Genomic DNA, 24,204 nt, shown 5'->3' on the forward strand with positions numbered 1-24,204 from the left:
TCACCATTCTGTAGAAAGATAATAAATACATTCAGTGGTTTTTTTATAGTTTCCTGACTTGATAATATTAAGTAAGACCATGGATTTTCACAAATATTTTATTAATATATTATGAAGGTATATTTGTGAACATATGAGAACAAAGCATGTTGTATTTAACAAATAACATGTTTGATAACTTTTTAAATTTTAACCATAGAAAGTAGGGGTCTCTATTTGTATTATTGCCTGACAGATTCAAAAGTGATAGGGATGTCCAAGCTAAATCTTCCCCCAAAAGGAGCATATTATCCTTCCCCCATCCTTGAAAATCAGCACTTAACAGAGCCTACTTGTCCAGAATTATTTAGAAACCACTGGTATTATTAAAGGAAAAATGACTCAATAATACTTGTTACAACAGAGCAAGAAAGACTTTATTCAGGACCATCATGTTTGGTACAGGGGCCACTGCAATGGGATTTTGCAGTGAGGGAGAGAGATTGGGCTCAAATCCTAATACAGCATGGCAAGTGGGAGCTTATAGGCAAGGAATAGGGTGGGGTCAGTGGGTGGAAAATTGCTCAGAGGAAACATCAGGGATAAGGAGGATTCTGGCTAAACTGACTTAATAGGGTTCTTGCTGAAGACAGGCCAGGGTGACCAGACATCCCCTGGAGGTGGAAGATGAGGAACCTGATAAAATATCAAGGTGATCCGGTATCAAGAGTGGGAGGTTCTGGTTAAAATGATTTAGCAGAGTTCTTGCTGAAACTGGATTTTACAAGGAAGTGCACACATAGATACAGGAGGAGCTTCAGGAGTCAGGCTAAAGTTTGTTTAAGCGAAATTTGTCAGTATTCTCAAATAGAAAATAATATGTATAAAAATTTCTAGATTGTAAAGCTAAAATGAGATGATTCTGAAAGTACTTTGAAATACAAAACAGTTATCTAAACACAATCCAAGATAATCTCAGCATTTCTTTTTCCTGGGCCAGAATGTACAAATTAAGAATTTCTTAATTTCCCACTTTGTTCATTATATGTTGTACCTTGTAACAATCATTCTCCTCATTTGAGTGGTGATCTTACTCAACATACCGACATACCTTACTTAACCTTATGCATTATGGACACAGAAATCTGTTCTATTGACAAGTCTAATTACCAAGGAACCTGAAAAAAAAAAAAAAGCAAAAACTTTAACTCTATGGTTGGTATAGGAAGCTGGCAGTTTTCTTTTCCCTGGTCCTTCACCAACATATTAATCTTTCCAGCTGTTAATGTCATTTCCTCACCTGGCAAATGGAGGATTGCTCTTAAAGTTTCTTGTTGCTCCAACAAGCCAGGCAGGTGAGCTGTTATTTGTCTTACTTTCTGGCCTCCGGCAATCTGCAAGCCAAGCACATTAAAGTTGCTTGAAATTGTTGATTTAAATGTCAGGATCCCTGCAGAACATTGTATTTTCCCAAAGCATGAGGAACCCTGATGTTTCTTTGGCCCTCACTACCTTTGCACTGTTGCCTATTTTTCTTTCTGAAAGTCACCTTTTATCTCTAATAATAATAACTAAATCAGTTCTCTGATTCTAATCTTTATGTCAGTGGTGCAGTTTTATTACAATTATGAATAATAATAACATTTAAAAATTAAACTACAAATATATCCAATGGGGCTAGATCATAATGTGATGTCACTTTCTTCAAATCACTGAGAGATGCAGAAACATCCAACATCCACCATGCCTGAAGTATTATGCTAGACATTGTGAAAGATATGAAGAAATATGAAACAATTACTCTTAAAATCCTTCTTCTTTCCCTTTCTTCTTTTTCTCTTTTCTTCCTTTACTCCTTTCTAAAATAGTATACTTCTAGTAATTGAAACCTCTGTTTCTTATCATTAAGCACCTTCATGTTGAAGAGAATCTATTGAGGGAGATAAACAGGTTTTTCCTTGACAGTGCCTCCTTCAGTAAATTCTTCTCTACATGCATTTATTTGCCAATTCTTTAAAACATTAATTAGAAATAGTTTCATCAATAATGTACAGTGCTCCTTAAAAACGCTTATGACTGAATGGCCAATAAAATTAAAGCAAAATAATATGAAACAAGTTTTCTTTAGGATCAATTCTGTTTTTCTCCTTTATTATTTGAGTTTTGACTTTAGAACAAAAGCTACTTAGCATTCATACTACCTACAAAAATCAAATGGAATTTTATTGAATTTGATAGTAATTTATTTATTCAAGCAAAGATCCATTAAAAATCTCTATATACATCACTAAATTATTTTATTACCAACAATAAATGTCTTTTGATTCTAGTTGCAATGGATGTAGATAGATACAAGGTAATTGAATTTCACAATTACGTCCTTTAGGGCACAGGCCTAGTAAATCTCAATGTATGAGTCAGACTGAAAATCATTTTCTTCCACTTTGGAATGTGAATGTTTTTATTAAAATATTCATTAAATGTTTTCACAGTATAACTGTAACTTTCTCCTTTGAGTTAAATGTTAATGCTGAAAAATTGTGAATGAAACTGATCATTCAGATAAGAAAAGTATATAAAAAATTTTAAAAAGGTTTGTAACATTCAGCAGGAGTTTCCTCCTAAAGAAATGTACTGTTTGTTTTGAGCTTTCAAACAAAAATTAGAATGTAGGAAAACATAGCTGCAACTGTGAACTTACAATTTTATTTGCAAGTATAATTTTTCCATATTAAATAGTGAAATGTGTTAACATTGGGAACATCTGCATAACTCAGTGATCCAATATTTTCCAAATGACCAGTATGTTATGACACAGCATCGAGCATGGGTAAAAAGCCATTCAACACACAAGAAGGTCAGGAGACTTTACCATAACAAAGATTAAAATGTTCGTTGATAAGGTTGCAGATCCCCTAGTTCACCTTACTTATTAGAAAAAAAAAAAAAAAACTTAGTTTTTGTGTAAAAAATCAAAGAATATTCATATCTTTTCAGAAAAGCAATCAAAATATTCCTCCAACTATAAATCTCTGGGAGCCTGAATTTTCTTTATATACTTAAATAAAAACAACATATTGCTAATAATTGAATGCAGAAACATATATAAGACCCAGCTACATCACAATAAACCAGAAACTGAAGAGATTTGTAAAAATGTAAAACAGTTACCCTCATCTAAGTTTTGTTGTAATTTGCTTCTGTAGTAAAATATCGTCTTCATAGATATACCTACATTATAAATATTTTGTTCATTTTAACATGTATTTTAATATTCTTATTTTAAATAACATAAATAAATATATTTTTAATTCTCACTTCAATTTTTATTACAGCAAATACAGATGTCTATAAGCCACATAAATAAGTGTTTGGGGGGTTTCAATATATTTTAAGATTATGAGAAATGCTAATTTAGCACATTCCTTTATTTTTATTTATTTATTTTTTTGACTGAAGAAACTAAAAGACAGTGATGTTGATGAAGATTTTCCAAATCACAGAGTTGAAATAAATGCCAGGTCAAAACTCAGGGTTTCCTGACTTCTAGTTGTATTCATCTTCTAAGGCTCCCACAACAAAGTACCACACACCGGGTGACTTAAATAACAGAAATCTATTGTCTCACAATTCTGGAGACTGGAAGTTCAAGATTGAGGTGTCAACAGGGTTGGTTTATGCCTCTCTTCTCCATTCTAATGGTTTTGTGGCAACTTTTGGTGTCGCTTGGCTAGTAGATAGATCACCCACATTTCTGCTTTTGTGTTCACGTGACCTTCTCCCTGTGTGCATGTCTGTGTCCAAATTTCCCACATTTATAAGGACACCAGTCTTACCAGATTAGGGATCCACCCTACTCCAGTATGACTTCATCTTAATTACATCTGCATGACGCTATTTTCAAATACAGTCACATTCTGAGTGCTGGGGATTAGGACTTCAACATGTGAATTTGGAGGGATGCAATTCAACCTATAATAGCAATCCAGTGTGTTTTTCCTTCAGTCCTTATATATCAAAAAGTATTGTCTTTCATGTTTCCTTCCTTTTGTCCGTACTGCCCTCCACTCTCACATTATCCCTACGTACACAGAATAATACATATAAAATGCATATGGGGAAAACCGATTCCTCAGGAAAGCGATTATTATATTAAAAAATATAAGTCCAAAGTCAAGCTGGCTACAAGGAGGACATCTAAGTTGAGACTGGCCTCAGATGATTTCAATAGAGGGAAACTGGGGTATCATTTTAGGAAATTAAAGAGATCTCAGGAAGCTAACATACTTTAAAATGAAGATCACAAAATGTTATCTCATGCATTTACATAACATATCTTAAAACTTCATGTGTAAGGAAAATGTGGTCCATCAAAAATTCTTAAAACTATGGTTTGGGAAATAGTTCTTTAAACTGAATATTCACAGTAAAGTATGTATTCCAATCACATGCCTTTTTTCTCTGTTGTCTATGACTTTGCATATTGGTGAATTGTATTTTCCACTCAGGTGTTAGATATACTGGTGAGAAATGTAATATGTGCTCTTACTCCTACTTTTGAAAGCTCTTGGTCCCATCTATATGACAGTCTGTAAGCCTGGCTGTTCTTTTATAATCCTCTTCTATTTTCCCCCAAATTCACAACACTACCTTCACTTGAAGTGAGTGAATCAGAACAGTCCCAAAAATATTGTGCAAATTATTAAGATACACGAAAGTAGATTAAAGTAAGTTGGCCAAAAAGACTCTACGGAGTTGAAATTGCTTAATAAAGCACTGTATTAATCTGAACTCTCCCAACCAATAGGATATATATATATGTGTGTGTGTGTATATATATATGTGCACATATATATATACATATATATACATATATATGCGCATATATATGCACATATATATATATGTATATATACACACACACACACACACACACACACACATACACAGAGAGAGAGAGAGAGAGTGACATAGAGAGAGCAGGAGATTCAAAAGTTAATCTCATCCATGAACACTGTCACAGATGACACATCCAGAATAATGTTCAACCAAATACCTGGGCATCCTGTGCCTTGGTCCAGTCAAGTTGAGCCATAAAATTGGCTATTACAGGAAGCTCACATTCAACAATATTCTGTGCCAACAATGATTAAATAAAGGGTTACATCAAATTACCAGTGCAGCAATTAAAGAGAGACTAGTTAGAATATTTTATTAAAATTTCTATATGGCTCTTTATATGGCCTTTAAAACCCCTATGTATGGCCCTCTGCAACACACATACACACAACACATGCACAAAGCCATTGGAGAGATCTTCCCTCAGCAATTTTGACATATTAGGAACAGTTTGAAATCATATTCAGCACCTTCTCTCTCCTGTAAAAGCCTAGGCACATTGGAGACATTATGTTAACTAGCCCATGATGGAAAGAAAGAGGGAGAAGACATACGAGGGCAAGAACAGAGCAAGAGGAAAGATTCCCCTAGATTGGAAGCAGCACCAAGGAAGAGCGAAAAGTCTTAAGCAGAAATGTGGCTGGGTATGTACTAGCATCGTCGCCACAAACTACTAGAAAACAAGACAGAATATATAATATTATGCATAAGAATAGATAATACAGGGGGTGGTTCCAAGATGGCCGAATAGGAACAGCTCCAGTCTACAGCTCCCAGCATGAGTGACACAGAAGACGGGGGATTTCTGCATTTCCAACTGAGGAACTGGGTTCATCTCACTGGGGTTTGTCAGACAGTGGATGCAGGAGAGTGGGTGCAGCGCACAGAGCATGAGCCGAAGCAGGGTGAGGCATCGCCTCAACCAGGAAGTGCAAACGGTCAGGGAATTCCCTTTCCTAGCCAAGCAAAGCTGTGACACATGGCACCTGGGAAATCGGGTCACTCCCACCCTAATACTCCGCTTTTCTGGTGGTCTTAGCAAACGGCACACCAGGAGATTATATCCCGTGTCTGGCTCAGAGGGTCCCATGCCCACAGAGCCTCGCTCATTGGTAGCACAGCAGTCTGAGATTGAACTGCAAGATGACAGCGAGGCTGCGGGAGGGGCGCTTACCATTGCTGAGTCTTGAGTAGGTAAACAAAGTGGCCAGGAAGCTCAAACTGGGTGGAGCCTACCGCAGGTCAAGGAGGCCTGCCTGCCTCTGTAGACTCCACCTCTGGGGGCAGGGTATAGCCAAACAAAAGGCAGCAGAAACCTCTGCAGACTTAAACGTCCCTGTCTGACAGCTTTGAAGAGAGTAGTGGTTCTCCTAGCACAGAGTTTGAGATCTGAAAATGGACAGGCTGCCTCCTCAAGTGGGTTTTCACAGAATTGGAAAAAACTACTTTAAAGTTCATATGGAACCAAAAAAGAGCCCGCATTGCCAAGTCAATCCTAAGCCAAAAGAACAAAGCTGGAGGCATCATGCTACCTGACTTCAAACTATACTACAAGGCTACAGTAACCAAAACAGCATGGTACTGGTACCAAAACAGAGATATAGACCAATGGAACAGAACAGAGCCCTCAGAAATAATACCACACATCTACAACCATCTGATCTTTGACAAACCTGACAAAAACAAGAAATGGGGAAAGGATTCCCTATTTAACAAATGGTACTGGGAAAACTGGCTAGCCATATGGAGAAAGCTGAAACTGGATCCCTTCCTTACATTTTATACAAAAATTAATTCAAGATGGATTAAAGACATAAATGCTAGACCTAAAATCATAAAAACCCTAGAAGAAAACCTAGGACATAGGCATGGGCAAGGACTTCATGTCTAAAACACCAAAAGCAATGGCAACAAAAGACAAAATTGACAAATTGGATTTAATTAAACTAAAGAGCTTCTGCACAGCAAAAGAAACTACCATCAGAGTGAACAGACAACCTACAGAATGGGAGAAAATTTTTGCAACCTACTCATCTGACAAAGGGCTAATATCCAGAATCTACAATGAACTCAAACAAATTTACAAGAAAAAAAAAAACAACCCCATTAAAAAGTGGGCAAAGGATATGAACAGACACTTCTCAAAAAGAAGACATTTATGCAGCCAAAAGACACATGAAAAAATGCTCATCATCACTGGCCATCAGAGAAATGCAAATCAAATCCACAATGAGATACCATCTCACACCAGTTAGAATGGTGATCATTAAAAAGTCAGGAAACAACAGGTGCTGGAGAGGATGTGGAGAAATAGGAAAACTTTTACACTGTTGGTGGGACTGTAAACTAGTTCAACCATTGTGGAAGACAGTGTGGTGATTCCTCAGGGATCTAGAACTAGAAATACCATTTGACCCAGCCATCCCATTACTGGGTATATACCCAAAGGATTATAAATCATGCTGCTATAAAGACACATGCACACATATGTTTATTGCAGCACTATTCACAATAGCAAAGACTTGGAACCAACCCAAATGTCCATCAGTGATACCCTGGATTAAGAAAATGTGGTACATATACACCATGGAATACTATGCAGCCATAAAAAAGGATGAGTTCATGTCCTTTGTAGGGACATGGATGAAGCTGGAAACCATCATTCTCAGCAGACTATCTCAAGGACAAAAAACCAAACACCACATGTTCTCACTCATAGGTGGGAATTGAACAATGAGAACACTTGGACACAGGAAGGGGAACATCACACACCGGGGCCTGTGGGGTGGGGGTAGGGGGGAGGGATAGTGTTAGGAGATATACCTAATGTAAATGGCAAGTTAATGGGTGCAGCACACCAACATGGAACATGTATACATATGTAACAAACCTGCACGTTGTGCACATGTACCCTAGAACTTAAAGTATAATAAAAAAATAAATAAAAATAAAGAAATGGAGTTTAGCTTCCACTTAAAATGCATGATGTACATGTCTGCCATATTTTGTTTTATTTTAGAGATCTAAATTCTACATTAAGTAGAATATGCAGTTTTAGATTAAAAAATAAGAAAACCTTAAAAAAAAGAATAGATAATACAAACATAATAAGTATAAATATTTGGAGCAACTATTTTTTGACAATGTACCACAGGCAATGCAATATTGTGTTCTCTAAGGAAAGAAAAAGAAACTAGTTGAGCCAATGATAGCCCAGCTTCCTGCCTTGAGATATTTTCCAGCAGGAACGCAGGGACAGGGAGCCCAAGCAGAGTGAGCTGCCACCCCTTGAACTGAGGAGAGAAAGGTCAGCTTCTCTTTGGGGTGGCTGAAGCAGCTGGGTTTACGTGAAAACGTACCAGAGTTGAGGCAACTGCCGGGGAAATATTAATAGTTCTAGAAATTGTCACAGGTATATCTAAATATCTGCTTTCGTTGCACTGGGTGAGGCCACTCCTGAAACGTACCCCCCGCCTTAAGGATATCTTGTAAGGTTGGTCTAGTGGTGATGAGTTCCCTTAGCAATTGCTTGTCTGAAAAGATTTTATTTCTCCTTCACTTATGCAGTGTACTGTGACAGGATGTAAAATTCATGGTTGGAGTTTCTTTTCTTTCAAAATGCTAAAAATAGGCCCCCAGTCTCTTCTGGCTTGTAGGATTGCTGCAGAGAAATCCACTGTTAGTCTGATGGTGTTTCCTTTGTATGTGATCTGCCCTTTTTCTCTAGCTGCCTTTATGATTTTTTCTTTAGTGTTGAGTTTAGACAATCTGATAACTGTATGTATCCTTGGTGATATTTGTTTTGTATAGTATCCAGCATGTCTTATCTGGATTTCTTGTATCTGGATATCTACTTATCTAGCAAGGTAAGAACAATTTTCTTGAATTATTCCCTCAAATATGTTTTCCAGGCCATTTACTTTTTCTTCTTCTCTCTCGGGAATGCCAATAATTCATAGGTTGGTCACCCTACATAATCCAATATTTATCAAAGACTTTGTTCATTTTAAAAATTCAGTTTATTTTTGTCTGACTGGGTTAGTTCAAAATATCATTCTTAAAACTCTGAAATTCTTCTGCTTGGTCTGTTCTATTGATAAAGTTTTCAATTGCATTTCAAAATTCCTTAAGTGAGCTTTTCAGCTTCAGTAGCTCTGATTGATTTTTTAAGAGATTTATATCTCCTCACTTCCTGGATTGCTTTAGAAGTTTATTTGTGCTGATTTTCAACCTTATCTTGAATCTTGTTGCGCTCCCTGGCAATCCATGCTTTGAATTCTTTATCTGTCATTTCCATGTTTCCATATTGGTTAGGGATCACTACTGGAGATCTAGAGTGATATTTTGGTGGTGTCACAACATTCAGATTCTTTATGATGGAAGAATCCTTACACTGGTTTCTTCTCATCTAGGGAGGATTGTGTTGGGTAGAGTCTTTTGGGTTTTCTTCTGTAGTCCTATGCACTTCTGTTGGCAGGCTTTGTATTAGGCTGTGCATTTCAACCTACAGGCCAGTAGATGGCATTTGCAGGTAAGAGTCAGCAGCTGCACAAGGAGGTGGGTATGGATATGATCTCTGTTTACTGTAAGGTGCTTTGTGTTGACAAACCCACATGCAACATCATACTGAATGGGCAAAAGCTGGAAGCATTCTACATAAGTACTGGAACAAGACCAGGATGCTCATTCTCACAACTCCTATTCAAAACAGTAGTGGAAGTTCTAGCCAGAGCAATTAGCCAAGAAAAAGAAATACAAGGCACTTAAAGAGGAAAAGAAGTCAAATTATCTCTTTGCTGACGACATGATTCTATACCTAGGAAATACTAAAGACTCTACCAAAATGTTCCTAGAGCTGATGAACAACTTCAGTAGAATTTCAGAGTGCAAAATCTTACACACATTATTTCTAAGTATTTGTTGTACTTTGTGGTTACGGTAAATGGTATTTTTTTAATTCGGCTATTGTTTTTGGCTAATATATAAAGATAAAATTGACTTTTTATATTGACCTTACTAAATTCACTTTTTAAAAATAATTTAGATTCTTCTGGACTGTTTTAAGAATATGAATAGGCTGTTTGTAAAAAAATGAGATAGCCTACTTTATATTTAATATTATTTTTCATATATTTGGTTTTAAATTTAGCATCTTATTATTTGTTTTGTATTTGTGCTGCCTGTTCTATTTTGTCTATTTTCTTACCAGAAAATATTTTCTGTTATATTAATTGTGTATTTTATATTATTTCATTCTCCCCTCTATTTGCATATTAATTATATGTATCCTTTTACCTGATCTGACTGGTTCCCCTAGCAATTAAAAGACACATATTTGGACTTATTAGTGTCCCATAGTAGTTTTACCCTTTAGGAATGGTCTCACTTTGAGCTGTGGATAGGTTATAAATTGGGAACAGGAGAGAAGGGTCATACACTGTAATAAGACCACACATCCACATCTGTGACTGCCTTGTCACCTATACACTGCTGATACTATTCACAGTTATATCCCGGCTACTGCCTCAGAAAGCACAAAAGAAAGTCATGAGAATTCCAACAGAGGGGACAACTAAACATTTCACAACAGAAAAAAAAAAGGCAAAATTTTAAGACTAAAGATCAGAGTGTCTGAAAGTTTTTCTTAATGCTAACCTCATTAAAGTGGTTTAGAAAAGATATAGATGTACATAAACAAATATAAGTTTCCAGAATCAGTTTTGCAATTGCGTGGATGGAGAATGAGATTCAGAGAACAAAAGGAAAGCCAGTGACCTGGAAGATACCCTAACTATCACTTCCCTGGAATCATCAATGTGAAGAATGAGACTATACTGGGCTACAGTAAATTATAAGAGAGAATTAGAAGACTTAGAAGATGGAGGACCAAAGTACAGAGCCCTGATGACAAGCTCCATCTACCCCAAGGACTCTAGACCTTGGCCTAAGCTGCACTGTCCAATAAGGTAACCATTGGGCCTCATATGGCTATTTAAATTTAATTTAAACTTATAGGCCAGGTGCAGTGGTTCATGCCTGTAATCTCAGCACTTTGGGAGGCCAAGGAGGGCAGATCACCTGAGGTGAGGAGTTCGAGACCAGCCTGGCCAACATGGTAAAACCTCATCTCTACTAAAAATACAAAAATTAGCTGGGCATGGTGGCGGGTGCCTGTAGTCCCAGCTACTTGGGAGGTTGAAGCAAGAGAATTGCTTGAAGCCGGGAGCATCTATGCAGCATTCTATTGGACAATACTGGCCTCGTGGGGATCATCTCCTGGGGACATCCCATAGCAGGCCCTGCAGATTCTGGAAAGAAGAAGTCAGTAAGAAACTCTGTGCTTATTCTCTTGAGTGAAGTTTAGGGGAATGGAATTGAAGAGGTGAGGCAACGACTATGTTTATGTGTGAGACGATGACTGCCTTAGGTAGAATTAGATAATAAGGGATGAAAACACAGGAAAAATGGAGACCTTGACATCTGAATGTCTCCATGAGGGATGATAAAGGCATGAATGAGGAAACAGTATATATATATATATATATATATATATATATATATATATATATATATATATATATAAATATATATATATTTATATACACATATGTATTTATCACAGGAAAAATGCACAGTGCATTCTAATAATCTCCTCCCTCCTTTACATTCATCCATTTGGGAGCCTCTATGAGAGAGAATTGTATGAGCAAAGTTATATGTAAAGAATATATAAACTCAAAGAATATATTTTTCATAAAGAATGAGTGTGATTGATACTTTCTAAGAGGATCTTTCTGGATAAATTGAAATGACTTTGTTATTAACATTTATATTTATTTAAGAGGACAAGTTTTTGACTGATGACACCATGCATGTGAGTCATCATTGTGCTACTTCAAAAAACCAAAACAAGAAATTAAGTTATTGCTAAATTGTTAAGAACAAAAGGAATTTTCTATTGCACATTTTAGTTACAAGGACTTTTTTCTTCTTTTTTTATTTGCCATGCACTCTTTCCTTCTTTTTCTATTTCTCATGCACCTCATGTTCAAGACAATACAATTGACCTAAAGGAAGCAGTTTATCAAGGGGCTTATGGACTGAGTTGCCCCTAGGGTGTGTAAGGCCCTCAGCAAAATATCTGTTTTGGGATCTGTATCTATATGACTAATTTGAGTTGTCCAAAACAAGCCAAGATCATGCCGGTAGCCCAATTCAATTCAATCACGCAATTCCAGGAAATAAATACTGCCCAGACCAGTGGGAGAGATGTATTTGCCTGGAAGCCCTCCTAGAATTTAGGGTGGCCAATTACTCCATAGCAGGAAAGCTTAGAGCTCCTCAGGATAACAGGTCAATCTTATGCCTGAGATAGAACCTAAGAGACTCAACAAGGGGTGAGACTAGTACTAGCCTCTGCACCCACCACCTGCCCCAGTCCTGGGCCAGGCACAGGTAACCCCTCCTAAACGGCATTGCTGCCTCAGCAAGTCTCAGGCACCAGGTAGGAATTCAAGAGAGTTTCCAGGAAGGCACTCTAAATCACTGGGTTTCTGAGGGGCAGCACCGTCACCGGCCCCAGGTAGAGGTTCCACTTGCCTGAGGGCAGTACTGCTTATCAGTAGAGTCACTGTTATGAAACTGAGCTGAAATTGAGTGGCCTTTTTAATAAAAAAGGAAATAGCAATAGCCGCTAGGGCCTGGGTTTAAAGTCAATAACAAGCATTAAATGCACTTAGTACTTGGCACTAATAGGGCTGAACTAAAATGATAGCTATTTTAATTAAAATAAGGTATATGTTACAGGAGCTCTTATCTGAAGGTCTGTACAGGTTCTTAAAATATTCAATTAAAGAGACCATTGTTAATAAACAAAACCTTATTCTGAGAAAATAATGGGCATTCTCTGGTCATAAGAGAGTGGTGAATTCAATGTCTTCATTCATTTATTACACTTTGCACTGTACTGCAGGCCTCTACTCCCTGTGTTCTACTGTAAATCAAAAATAAAATCTTAAGCCCCCCAAATGGCTGAACAGACCCACTTTTGGCCAAGGGGACCCTAGAGAAACCTGAATAATTGAATTCCTGGAGATCATGAGAAAGGAGGTCAGATGCACCTTGTTATATCACCTTTCTTTTGGAATTTAGGCACAACCCACCAGTATTAAGGTTAAACTAGAGATCATAAGACTGACAAAACAGACTGTGGTGATAAGATACCAAATTATAAAAAAGAGCTAGGGCTATGTAAGGCAAGGGTTAGGTCACACCATACAAACCATGAAGTCTCATTAAACATTTTTTTTTTTTTTTATTAAACCAGTACGATGTGACTTACTTTCCAACCTGATTCTGGTATAGCATCATATGATAGATAGCAGACCTTAAGATAAATCAAGATATTTTACCCCAAAATATATTTCTTTGTCATATTTTGAAATGGTTGCCACAGGACCAGCAGACTGAAATGGCCCTGCAAAGCCATCTCTTGAGGGGAAAATTCACATCTGTCTCTGAGAATCTCCATTAATGCAGTCAGACCTTCTCGTTCTAGGCCTTTCTCAGTCTAACAGAGGTTAACTGAGAGTCTGACACCTTCAAAATTCTGTAAAGAGACATTTACCATCTAGTCTCTCTTAAGCCTACTACCTATGAGGTTTCATCTACATAACAAGGGACTTGGCCCCCACAACCCCTTTTTCTCAACTTAAGCATTACCTTCTCTTGACTTCAAGTCTTTAGACAATACCTTAATTCTCTCAACCAATTGTCAGTTCAATAATCCCTAAAATCCACCTATGATTTGCAAGGCACTGCTTTGAGATTTCCCACTTTTTCAGGCTGAACCAATGTATACCTGCTATGTATTGATTTATATATTTGCCTGTAACTCCTGTCTTCCTAAAATGTTTACAACTAAACTGAAAACTGACTGCTTCAGGACCACTTACTCCAAGCTTCTTGGGTTTGTGTTTTTCTCTGGGCCACAGTCACTCGTCTTGGCTCAGAATAAACCGCTTCAAATTGTTTTACATAATTTGTTTTTTACATTAACACTACCTTTCTGAATTCTGTTCACGTTTCAAGACCCAATCAGACTCTGCTTCTTGGAGAGTTCCTCCTTTCATGGGTATTGCCTCTTTTAAACTCATAGTAAGATATATATGAGAGCATCAGCTGGGTGTGGTGGCTCACAACTGTAATCTCAGCAATCTGGGAGGCTGAGGCGGGTGGACAACTTGAGATCAGAAGTTCCAGACCAGCCTGGCCAACATGGTGAAACCCCATCTTTACTAAAAATAAAAATTAACAAGGCATGGTGGCATATGCCTGTAATCCCAGCTACTCGGGAAGTTGAGGTGGGAGGATTGCTTGACCCCAGGAGGCAGAGGTTGCAGTAAGCCAAGTTCATGCCACAGCTCTCCAGACTGGGCAACAGAGTGAGATTCCATCTCAAAAAAAAAAAAGACATATGCGGGAGAATCTAGGAGTAGGAGTATCCATACACTCCTCAACTCCAATCTAAAGAAGAGAATTCAAAATGTATTTGTGAGTATACAGTAACCACTATCTATATTTCTCCCACGCAGTGAAAGGATTATTATAGTCAAATAAATTAACATTTGCATCACCTCACATAGTTAACATTTTTGTGTATTTGGTAAAAGCACTTAAACTTTATTCTCTTAGCAAATGTTTCATATACAACACAGTATTGTTATTAACTGTGGTCTTCATACTATACGTTATGTCTGTTGATGAAAAGAGTCAAACTCTGTAAAATATTTTTAGAGATTTATTCTGAGCCAAATATGAGTGACAATGGCCTGACACAGCCCTCAGGAGGTCCTAAGAACATGTGCCCAAGGTGGTCGGGCTACAGCTTGTTTTTATATATTTTAGGGAGGCACGAGACATCAATCAAATACATTTAAGAAATACATTGATTTGGTTCAGAAAGGCAGGACAAAAAGTGGGGGCTTCCAGGCTATAGGTAAATTTGAACATTTTCCAGTTGACAGTTGGTTGAGTTTATCTCAAGACCTGGGATCAATAGAAAGGAATGTTCAGGTCAAGATAAAGAATTATGGAGATCAAGTTTTATTGTGCAGAGGAAGCTCTCAGATAGCAGACTTCAGAGAGAGATCAGGTTGTAAAATGGGTTTTATTAGACCTAAAAGGGTATCTGGCTCTTAGTTGATTATCCCCTGAATCTGGAAAAAAATGAAGGAAAATAAAGGGGAAATGGGATTCTCTATAGGATGTGGATTTTTCCACAAGAGACTTCGCAGGGCAATTTCAAGGTATGGCAAGGAAACATCTTTTGGGGTAAAATATTTTGATTTTCTTCCTTGTTATGCCAGAGTCAGATTGGAAAGTAGTCATGGTATACAGGGTTAAATAAAACCCATCTGATGAGAATTTATGGCTTGTAGGGCATGACTCCCTAAACCCCCTAGGTAGGAAATTTGGCAAGATAAAAAAATCAGAGCTTAGTCCTCAGTCCCCGCTCTTGGCCAAAAAGCATTCCATAGAATGCATGTTCAGGCCAACAAACAGCAGCATGTCCCATGGCGCTAGGAAGGCTCATTCCTAGCGTTGTCTGATTTGGCCATCTGGCAGGGGCCCACGGTGCTAGGAAGGTTTGTTCCTAGAGTCCTCTGATTTCATGGTAATATAGTTTTAAATATTAGCGATTTGGATAATGGGGGAGGACATAGTTTGACCTGATGTAATAGCCAATTGTTTAAGGGGTGAGATAGAGTCAGGCCTAGAGTTTAGTCTAAAAAGAATCTTAGATCATATCTGTTTTGCAAGCTATCATAATCTGGGTCTTTAATTGTGCCTTCTTCCCTTTGCTGTATCTGGCATAACATTTACAAGAGATATATAATGCTAATACAGTGACAACTACCAAAGAGATAGCAAAGATTAGGTGTCCAAGAAGGTTATAGGTAGAGTCAGAGGGCAGTTAAACAGCCCTATCAGCCAGGAGAAACCCTGCATGCATCATCATATTCTTTGATCCGACTCACCATGTGTTTATCCTCCTTATTAAGGGTTATTTGAATCTCATGATAAATCTTACTTAAAAATTGTAGGGCCAACATTAAATTAGAATTTATTAAACTTAATTTCTCTTCTGGCCAATTTCTCTCCATAGGTATAGCATCCTGAGGAGGGTAAAATTTAAACGCAAGAAACGCCTGGTCGTCAGTGTCTAAATTGTTATAGATGTGTTAACAGTAGACAAATCTATTCTTCCCACCACTTTTGTATTGCACCATATATTGGTATTTGGGAGAGAAAAGGTTTTGTCACAGGAGAAGTTATATAATTCTGCAGTGTTATTTTTCCTTGGCAGGACTCCCTATGGCTGAGGGCCTTTAGAGTCAAAGACTTATAGCCCATTAATTGGTCTAGGTCATATAGGAATGGATATAGACAGGCATTCATAACTTCTTAAAATTATTATTTTAAGTAAAAGAAGACAACAAAACCAAAAGACAAAAGTTACAAGACTGACTCATTTTTAACTTATGTGTTGAGCTACTGTAAGCTTGGTTTCTGTTACAGGCTTACAGCAATTAGCTGTTAATTAGCAATTAAAACATAAGCATTGTTCTAAAAAGTAATTTAAAATACATACATGATAGAGATAGATGATAGATAGATAGATAGATAGATAGATAGATAGATAGATAGATAGAAAGATAGGTAGATAGATAGATTTATCTTCACAACTTAAAATTGGGAGTATTATACCCAGGAGGCTTTGTTACAAGGTATTTTATCCTGTTAGTAAATATTTTCCTTTAATTCTATACCAAGCAGAAAATTTTTATGGTTGGGGTGGATGCAAAAGTGACACATAATAGTTTAGAAGGCAACTAATCTTGTTTTGCCAGCTGTTTGAGCATTTATTGTATCCCTTTCTTGATTCAGAGGGTTTAATGTTGACCTGATTTTATCCCTTGAAACCAGCCCTTAAAATCTTTTGTGCCCACCTCTTCCATGATAGCCCCTGGGCCTAGAGGGAGGCAGCTTGTATAGGTTTGGCAGCAGAGCTTTAGCAGTGAAACAGATTCAGGCCCAGTAGGATGTCAAATGAGGGAGATTCATATCTCTGGTCTTCAGAATACCATGATGTTGGTTTCCTTGGAAGCAAAACAAGGAGAGATAAATAACATTTATAGTTTGACAGTTATAAGAGTAATTCATGTGTTAGAACAGAAAAAGGAACCTATTCCATTAGGGCACTAACTAAAAACATGAAGAAAAAATTATAATCTGGTACCTTCTAGAGGATTATTGTAGCCAAGAAATAATGATTTAATCTGTACTTAAAAGGTTACGGCCGAAATCTAGTATTAGGTGTCACGTTTTTAACTATCATTGAACTTGTGCAGACAACTATACTGTTCTAAAATTACAATCTGAATTTTGGAGAACGCAGAAAGGTACATTTGCTTACAAAAACATACTTTACCCAAATAACTTCAAAGAAAAAGATTTTCCTGACCCTCCTTTAAACAGAGCAGCAGCTTTTAAGACCAGATGTTTGTTTATCTTGGAAATTTTATTTACAAACAAGCAGCTCATTGAGAGCTATTAGGCACTATAGAATTTAGCAGCTTCTTACAATTAGTCCTAGGAGAAAGGCTCTCTGCTTATTAGGTAGCAAGATTCTATGTAAACCATTTTTATTTTGGCACGGAACTTTTTGGAAAACATTAATTCTATTAGTATAGGAGTAGCGTCAGTTAAAGCAAGGCAGTAGATGCCCCATCAAGTAGAACTTCTCTAGCTCAGTCGTTGTTACTGAAAAGTACTCACAATTTTTGCCATCAGCCTCAATAAATGCTGCACACAAAAGGTTACTGAGTGGAAGATTTACATGAGCAGATTGACATGTCTTCAGTTTTATAGTACTAGAAAGGGGAAAACATCCCACAGTTAGATATAGTGCCCATTTTCAAAAGACATTTAGGTAAAAGGGGTTACAACTACCTTACATAAAGCTTGTTTAAACATCTTACATTTTACAATTCTATTAACCTGTGTGTTTTTATATTCTGGTCCCAGGAAGCATTTTTTTTAACCCCCAGGCCATTTTACCATTTCTGGTGAAAAGGGTTTGGGTCCCCAGCAGGGAATTGCATCTGTAAGACCTATGAGGGACAACAGATTTGATAAGGCTTCTTAAACAGACCTATGATTCTGTGGGAGGGGCAGCCATGTAAAAGGGGCTCCCTTAACCCCCAAATTTACCATGACCCAGGTAATAGACATTATTTGGTGGGAGGATATCCCGGTTATCATAAGGCTAGTCCAACATGGCTTACGTATGAAACATATTAGCTGCTTCATCTTGGATACTTCACTTGGTATTTTATAGGGAGAGTTGGGCAGTCCCCTTCTCAGGGAAAACAGATCTTATAATGGCATTACCTGCCTCACTAGGCCAATTGCTTTCTCAGGAATAACCCCCTGTGCATTTGGATAGCATATACTCAGAGATTGTTCAGTAATGAGCTGTGCATCCTGCATTAATTCAAACAAGCTCTTACATTCTGTAGCATTTAAGGTTAAGAATTTTGTCCTTAAAGTGGTTATTTTAAAGAAGCCGAATGATACCAATCTACAAAATGGAACAATTCCTTTACATTACATCCTTTAAGAAGTCCTTCTTACTAACCTTATTACAGCTGACATAGTTCATTCACAGCACGTTTAGACTGTTTTGTCTTAAATATCCCTCTTTCTTGAACAACCTCATTATTTCTATCTTAGGACAAAAATTTACCACACAAGATTCTTTCGTATATAAAATTATTTTTCTTTTTTACCAGAAATACTACTTTACATCTTTAACTTTCTTTACATCTCTTATTTCCTGATTTCTTTACCTTATTTCACATATAACCCTTAAATAAGCTTTGAATTAGACAAAGATACTTTACCTTTAATAAGAACTTTTTTTAAAATGTTTTTTATAATTCTTAAATTGGAAATTGCCCAGATACTTAAGATCAATTAATAACCTTAGATCCTAAATTATGTCAAGTTTGTTTGCAAGCATTTATTCCATTACATTTACCTGATTAATTTAATGAAATAGCGAAGTTCTTGCATAGGAACTTTTTTTTTTTTTTTTTGAGACAGAGTTTTACTCTTGTTGCCCAAGCTGGAGTACAATGGCGCAATCTTGGCTCACCGCAACCTCTGCCTCCCGGGTTCAAGCAATTCTCTTGTCTCAGCCTTGCGAGTAGCTGAGATTACAGGTACATGCCACCATGGCTGGCTAATTTTTTTATTTTTAGTAGAGGCGGGATTTCAACATATTGGTCAGGCTGGTCTCGAACTCCTGACCTCAGGTGCTTCACCCACCTCGGCCTCTCAAAATGCTGGGGTTACAGGTGTAAGCCACCATGCCCGGCCCTTGCATAGGAACTTTTAAAAGAAAATCTCTTCATTTCTAGTAAGTAGGATGTCAGAAGTAAAATGGTAGATCTAAAAAAACTGCCAGTGGCCCGATAGTTATCATTTCATTTCCCAGGTCATTATCACAAATCTGCAAATTAGACTTTCTAATGCCTCTCTGAGGTAGAAAATCCAACTGTCTTTATTTAGTCAAGATGGAAGCAGCGAAAATTGATCTTTGCTTAAATATATTATAACAAATCCTGTTCCTTTACACATTATGGAATCTGCTTTATAGAAACCTCTACCGGAAATGTAAATGTCCCTAGTCATACATAATTTCGTTCTTTCAATATTTTTCTAAGGTAAAAATGAATACAACTGTAAGTCACAGCGACATTCATTAAAAAAAATCTCCCACTCATTGCTATAAAAAATCATCCCTAAGTAGCTTCTACCTTGAAAACTAACATAGGTTCAAATAGTTTACTTTAAAAGGTCTAGCAAGTGTGGTGGTAACATTTTAAAACTTATCTTTTGTTATTAACAGAAGTTGCTTTTATTTTCTAATTGTACCTGTGGTCTGACATTTCCTCTGCACCCATTTCGAGAACTTCTAAACAAAAAAAGAAATCTATGAGCTGACCCCAAGGAGATTGCTGACCAAATCTGCCTGTCACCAGTGACAGTTACAGGTCACTTGGATTTTACAAAAGCAACAAAAAGTAATTTGTTAACATTTCTGGGTTAGGGTTAATTTATGAAAACATTAACCACTTCTTACAATTTCATTTTTCCTCAAGCTTTTTTCTTTTTAAGACTCAATTCTTGCTCTGAGTAGCTGCGATTATAGGAGCCCACTATCACGTCCGGCTAATTTTGTATTTTTAGTAGAGATGGGGTTTCACCATGTTGGCCAGGCTGGTCTCAAACTCCTGACCTCATGTGATCTGCCCACCTCGGCCTCCCAAAGTGCTGGGATTACAGGCATGAGCTACCATGCCCAGCCCATTTTTCCTCAAGCTTTTGATTCCAAAATCTCTGTGAAAACTGCTTAGGCAAAGTGTGCTATCAGTAAAGTCTGCTTTTGTTGTGTCGGTCCCCTCTTTCTGATTCTGTTTCTCTCACCTAGTTGTGCCTCCTGGCCTCTCCTGCTCATCACCCCCAAACTCCTTCTGTTCTCACATTCTGACTGGGCCTCACAACGTTTTCAAAATCTTTGATTGCAGTCTTCTTTCATATTTAGTTGGAAATAATGAAACAACTCTTTATTAATGACTTCAGACATCAGTTTGATTGGTGTCTCCTGAATCCCCTGATATCATAATGCGGCAGTTGATCTGAACTGGGGATTCCTCAAAACAGTTTGGCAATTCTGGTTTTCTCAGTAAATAAACCACAGATGTCCTTGGACGCCAACTGGCAAAGCATGTCTTTGTACTGGGTCCTTTGTACTATTTGAGAAGTGAACAAACCTAGTTACTAAGGCTAGAATCTAAGCTAAATATTCAAACTAAAACTTGTAGAGTAACAACTTAAAGAATAAAACAGAATGGAATGTGGATGGAAATGGATTTCAAGTAAAAGGAAAGAAAAAAGGAAAAGGAGGAAAGACAAAACTATAAATCCAGACCAAAAAATAAAGTTAAAAATATAGGGCAGAATTGAAAGCGAATAGATCACAATCTAAATTTGTAAATTTGTAATCAATTGTAAACGTGTAAATGGACTCTCCCATTAAAAGGCACTCTGGGCAACAGATGCAGCTTTATGCGGTTCACAGGTGTTATTGTTTGGCTGTCTCCCCACCCAAATCTCATCTTGAATTGTACTCCCATAATTCCCACATGTTGTGGGAGGGGCCTGGTGGGAGATAATTTGAATCATGATGGCTGCTTCCCCCATATCATTGTTATGGTAGGGAATAAGTCTCACAAGATCTGATGGCTTTATCGGGGTTTCCACTTTTGCGTCTTTCTCATCTTATCTTGCTACTGCCATGTAAGTAGCGCCATGATCCTGAGGCCTCCCCAGCCATGTGAAACTGGTAAGTCCAATTAAACCTCTTTTTCTTCCCAGTCTTGTCTATGTCTTTATCAGCAGCATGAAAACGGACTAATACAGTAAATTGGTACCCGTAGAGTGGGGCATTGCTGAAAAGATACCTGAAAATGTGGAAGCGACTTTGGAACTGGGTATCAGGCAGAGGTTGGAAGAGTTCAGAGGGCTCAGAAGAAGACAGGAAAATGTAGAAAAGTTTGGAACCTCCTAGAGACTTGTTGAATGACTTTGATAAAAATGCTGATAGTGATATAAACAATAAGGTCCAGGCTGAGGTGGTCTCAGATGGAGATGAGGAACTTGTTGGGAACTGGAGAAAAGGTGACTCTTGTTACGTTTTAGCGAAGAGACTGGTGGCATTTTGCCCTGCCCTAGAGATTTGTGGAACTTTGAACTTGAGAGAGATAATGTAGGGTATCTGGTGGAAGAAATTTCTAAGCAACAAACCATTCAAAAGGTGACTTGGGTGCCATTAAAAGCATTCCATTTTAAAAGAGAAACAGAGCTTAAAAGTTCAGAAAATTCGCAGCCTGAACAATGCAGTAGAAAAGAAAAACCCATTTTTTAAGAAGAAATTCTAGCTGGCTGCAGAAATTCACATAAGTAACAAAGAGCCGAATGTTAATGCCAAAGACAATGGGGAAAATGTCTCCAGGGCGTGTCATAGGTCTTCACAGCCACCCCTCCCATCACAGACCCAGAAGCCTAGGAAGAAAAAATGGTTTCATGGTCTGGGTCCAGGGTCCCCATGCTGTGTGCAGCCTAGGGACCTGGTGCCCTGCATCCCAGCTGCTCTAGCCATTGTTAAAAGGGGCCAAGGTACAGCTCGGCCCATGGTTTCAAAGGGTTCACGCCCCAACCCTTGACAGCTTCCACGTGGTGTTGAACTTGAGGGTGCACAGAAGTCAAGAATTGAGGTTTGGGGACCTTCACCTAGATTTCAGAAGATTTATGGAAACTCTGGCCTACTGGCATGGGTACAGCATGCTTCCTACCTGCTGAGGATGAATGTGATACACAGAGCTATGATGGTTTCTAATGAGTAGTAAAATTCACAAAAGTTTCAAGTTATTCATGTCAGGATCATTCCTTGTGCAAAGTTTGATGTATTAATAAATGAAGATCAAATGGTTTCTTGGTCTGTAATTGCAATTTCATTTTTTAAAGTCAGTAGGTTTTTTGTACAGTTCTATTACAAGCGGCCAAGGTTTAATTTCATCCATCTCCATGAAGTGCTGATAAACATTTTTGTAGGCTTGTAGTCTTTGAATTTAAGGAAGAGAGCCTCACCTTTGGTTAATTTTTTAATATACTTCTGTAGCTCAATGTTCACATTAAAATGAACATATGTATCTTCTTTTCTTAAAGCCACAGGAGTATCTTGCACAGTACTTAAATCTATGTCATTCAGCTCCTTGATACTAACTGTAATATAGCATATTTCAGGCGAATTTTCTCAATTCTAGTAGTGAGTAACACCACTCCTGATTCTGACAACAACTTTGGTAATAAAGTAGTGATATGTGCTGCTTAGCATATTTCAGACCAATGTTCTCAGTTCTAGTAGTGAGTAACACCGCTCTTGGTTCTGATAGCAACTTTGGTAATAAAGTCATGATATGGTTTGGCTCTGTGTCCCCACTCAAATCTCATCTTGAATTGTACTCCCATAATTCCCACATGTTGTGGGAGGGACCCGGTGGGAGATAATTGAATCATGGAGGTGGTTTCCCCCATACTGTTCTCGTGATAGTGTATAACTCTCACGAGATTTGATGATTTTATCAGGGGTTTCTGCTTTTGCATCTTCCTCATTTTCTCTTCGGCTGCTGCCATCTTTGTAAGATGGGACTTACTCCTTCTTGCCTTCCGCCATGATTGTGAGGCTTCCTCAGCCACGTGGAACTGTAAGTCCAATTAAGCCTCTTTCTTTTGTAAATTGCCCAGTCTCAGGTATGTCTTTATCAGCAGTGTGAAAACAGACTAATACAAGTAGTAGCGTACCAGGAACTCTAGCGGGAAAAGAATCGGGAGACCCTGCTCCAGCACCACCCTGTTCTTCATCTTCTTCAAATTCCAAATACTGTTTTTCATCAGGTACTAAAGTTCTTTTTAAGGGGACAGGCTGAACGTCAAATGGAAATTCTTTATTATATGTAAAAATATTCTTTAGGATTAGTTACAGTTTCTTCAGGTCCTCCGATTTCAGTTCTTCTTGAAACTGTGTGGAATGTAAAGCTGCACTTCACAATTCCAAGCGTGTTGCAACATTGCCTGTGGGTTTCTTTTGTTATTCTGTGAATTCTCGCGTTGAGCTTGGGCCTCTTTTTGTAGAAGTCTTGCTAATATCAGATACTCATCTATCACTTCCACCAGCTAGCTCCAAGAGTCAAAGCTGGTGCCTCTCCTAAAACTGGCTCCCCAGTGCTGTAGTAGACTCTGGGTCACGAAGGTGACCACTCTTTACCCTGTCCCCTTCTGTTCCTACTCCAGCGGGCTTTCAGGCACCATCCTGGCTGGGCCTGACACCAGTATTGACAGGGCCAGGAGGAACCACTATAGCAAACTCTGCCACCTTCCAAGGAGCCACGCAAGCTTATTTGCAACCACTCTTCTCTTTTTTTCCTCTCTTTATTTCTTTTTAGTGTGATTGTGGTATTTATTTGCGGTATAGTAGGTTCATTTGTTTCACATTGCTTTCAGTTTTTGATTGTTCCTCCTTCCCATGCTTACTGATTAATCTTACATTTCTAATATGTAGGACAAATACTTTAAAAGCCAAAACTGTACAAAAGGAGGAAGGGCTTCAAGATGGCTGACTAGAGGCATCTGGTACTG

At 37.9% G+C, this 24,204-nt stretch overlaps 1 long non-coding RNA gene and 1 pseudogene across 1 annotated transcript; both read right to left on the reverse strand.

Moving 5' to 3' along the window:
* Positions 1-394: 394 nt before the first annotated feature.
* LOC105371958 (uncharacterized) lies at positions 395-17,800 on the reverse strand. The gene is made up of 3 exons (XR_001753320.2): positions 17,719-17,800; positions 16,890-17,039; positions 395-1,373 (listed from the first exon to the last, which is right to left on the reverse strand). It is a non-coding gene; the product is annotated as an uncharacterized LOC105371958 (long non-coding RNA).
* On the reverse strand, positions 22,326-23,976 carry AIDAP3 (AIDA pseudogene 3; annotated as a pseudogene).

Source organism: Homo sapiens, chromosome 18 (assembly GCF_000001405.40).
Source record: "Homo sapiens chromosome 18, GRCh38.p14 Primary Assembly".
In the NCBI taxonomy this organism is placed as follows: Eukaryota; Metazoa; Chordata; class Mammalia; order Primates; family Hominidae; genus Homo; species Homo sapiens.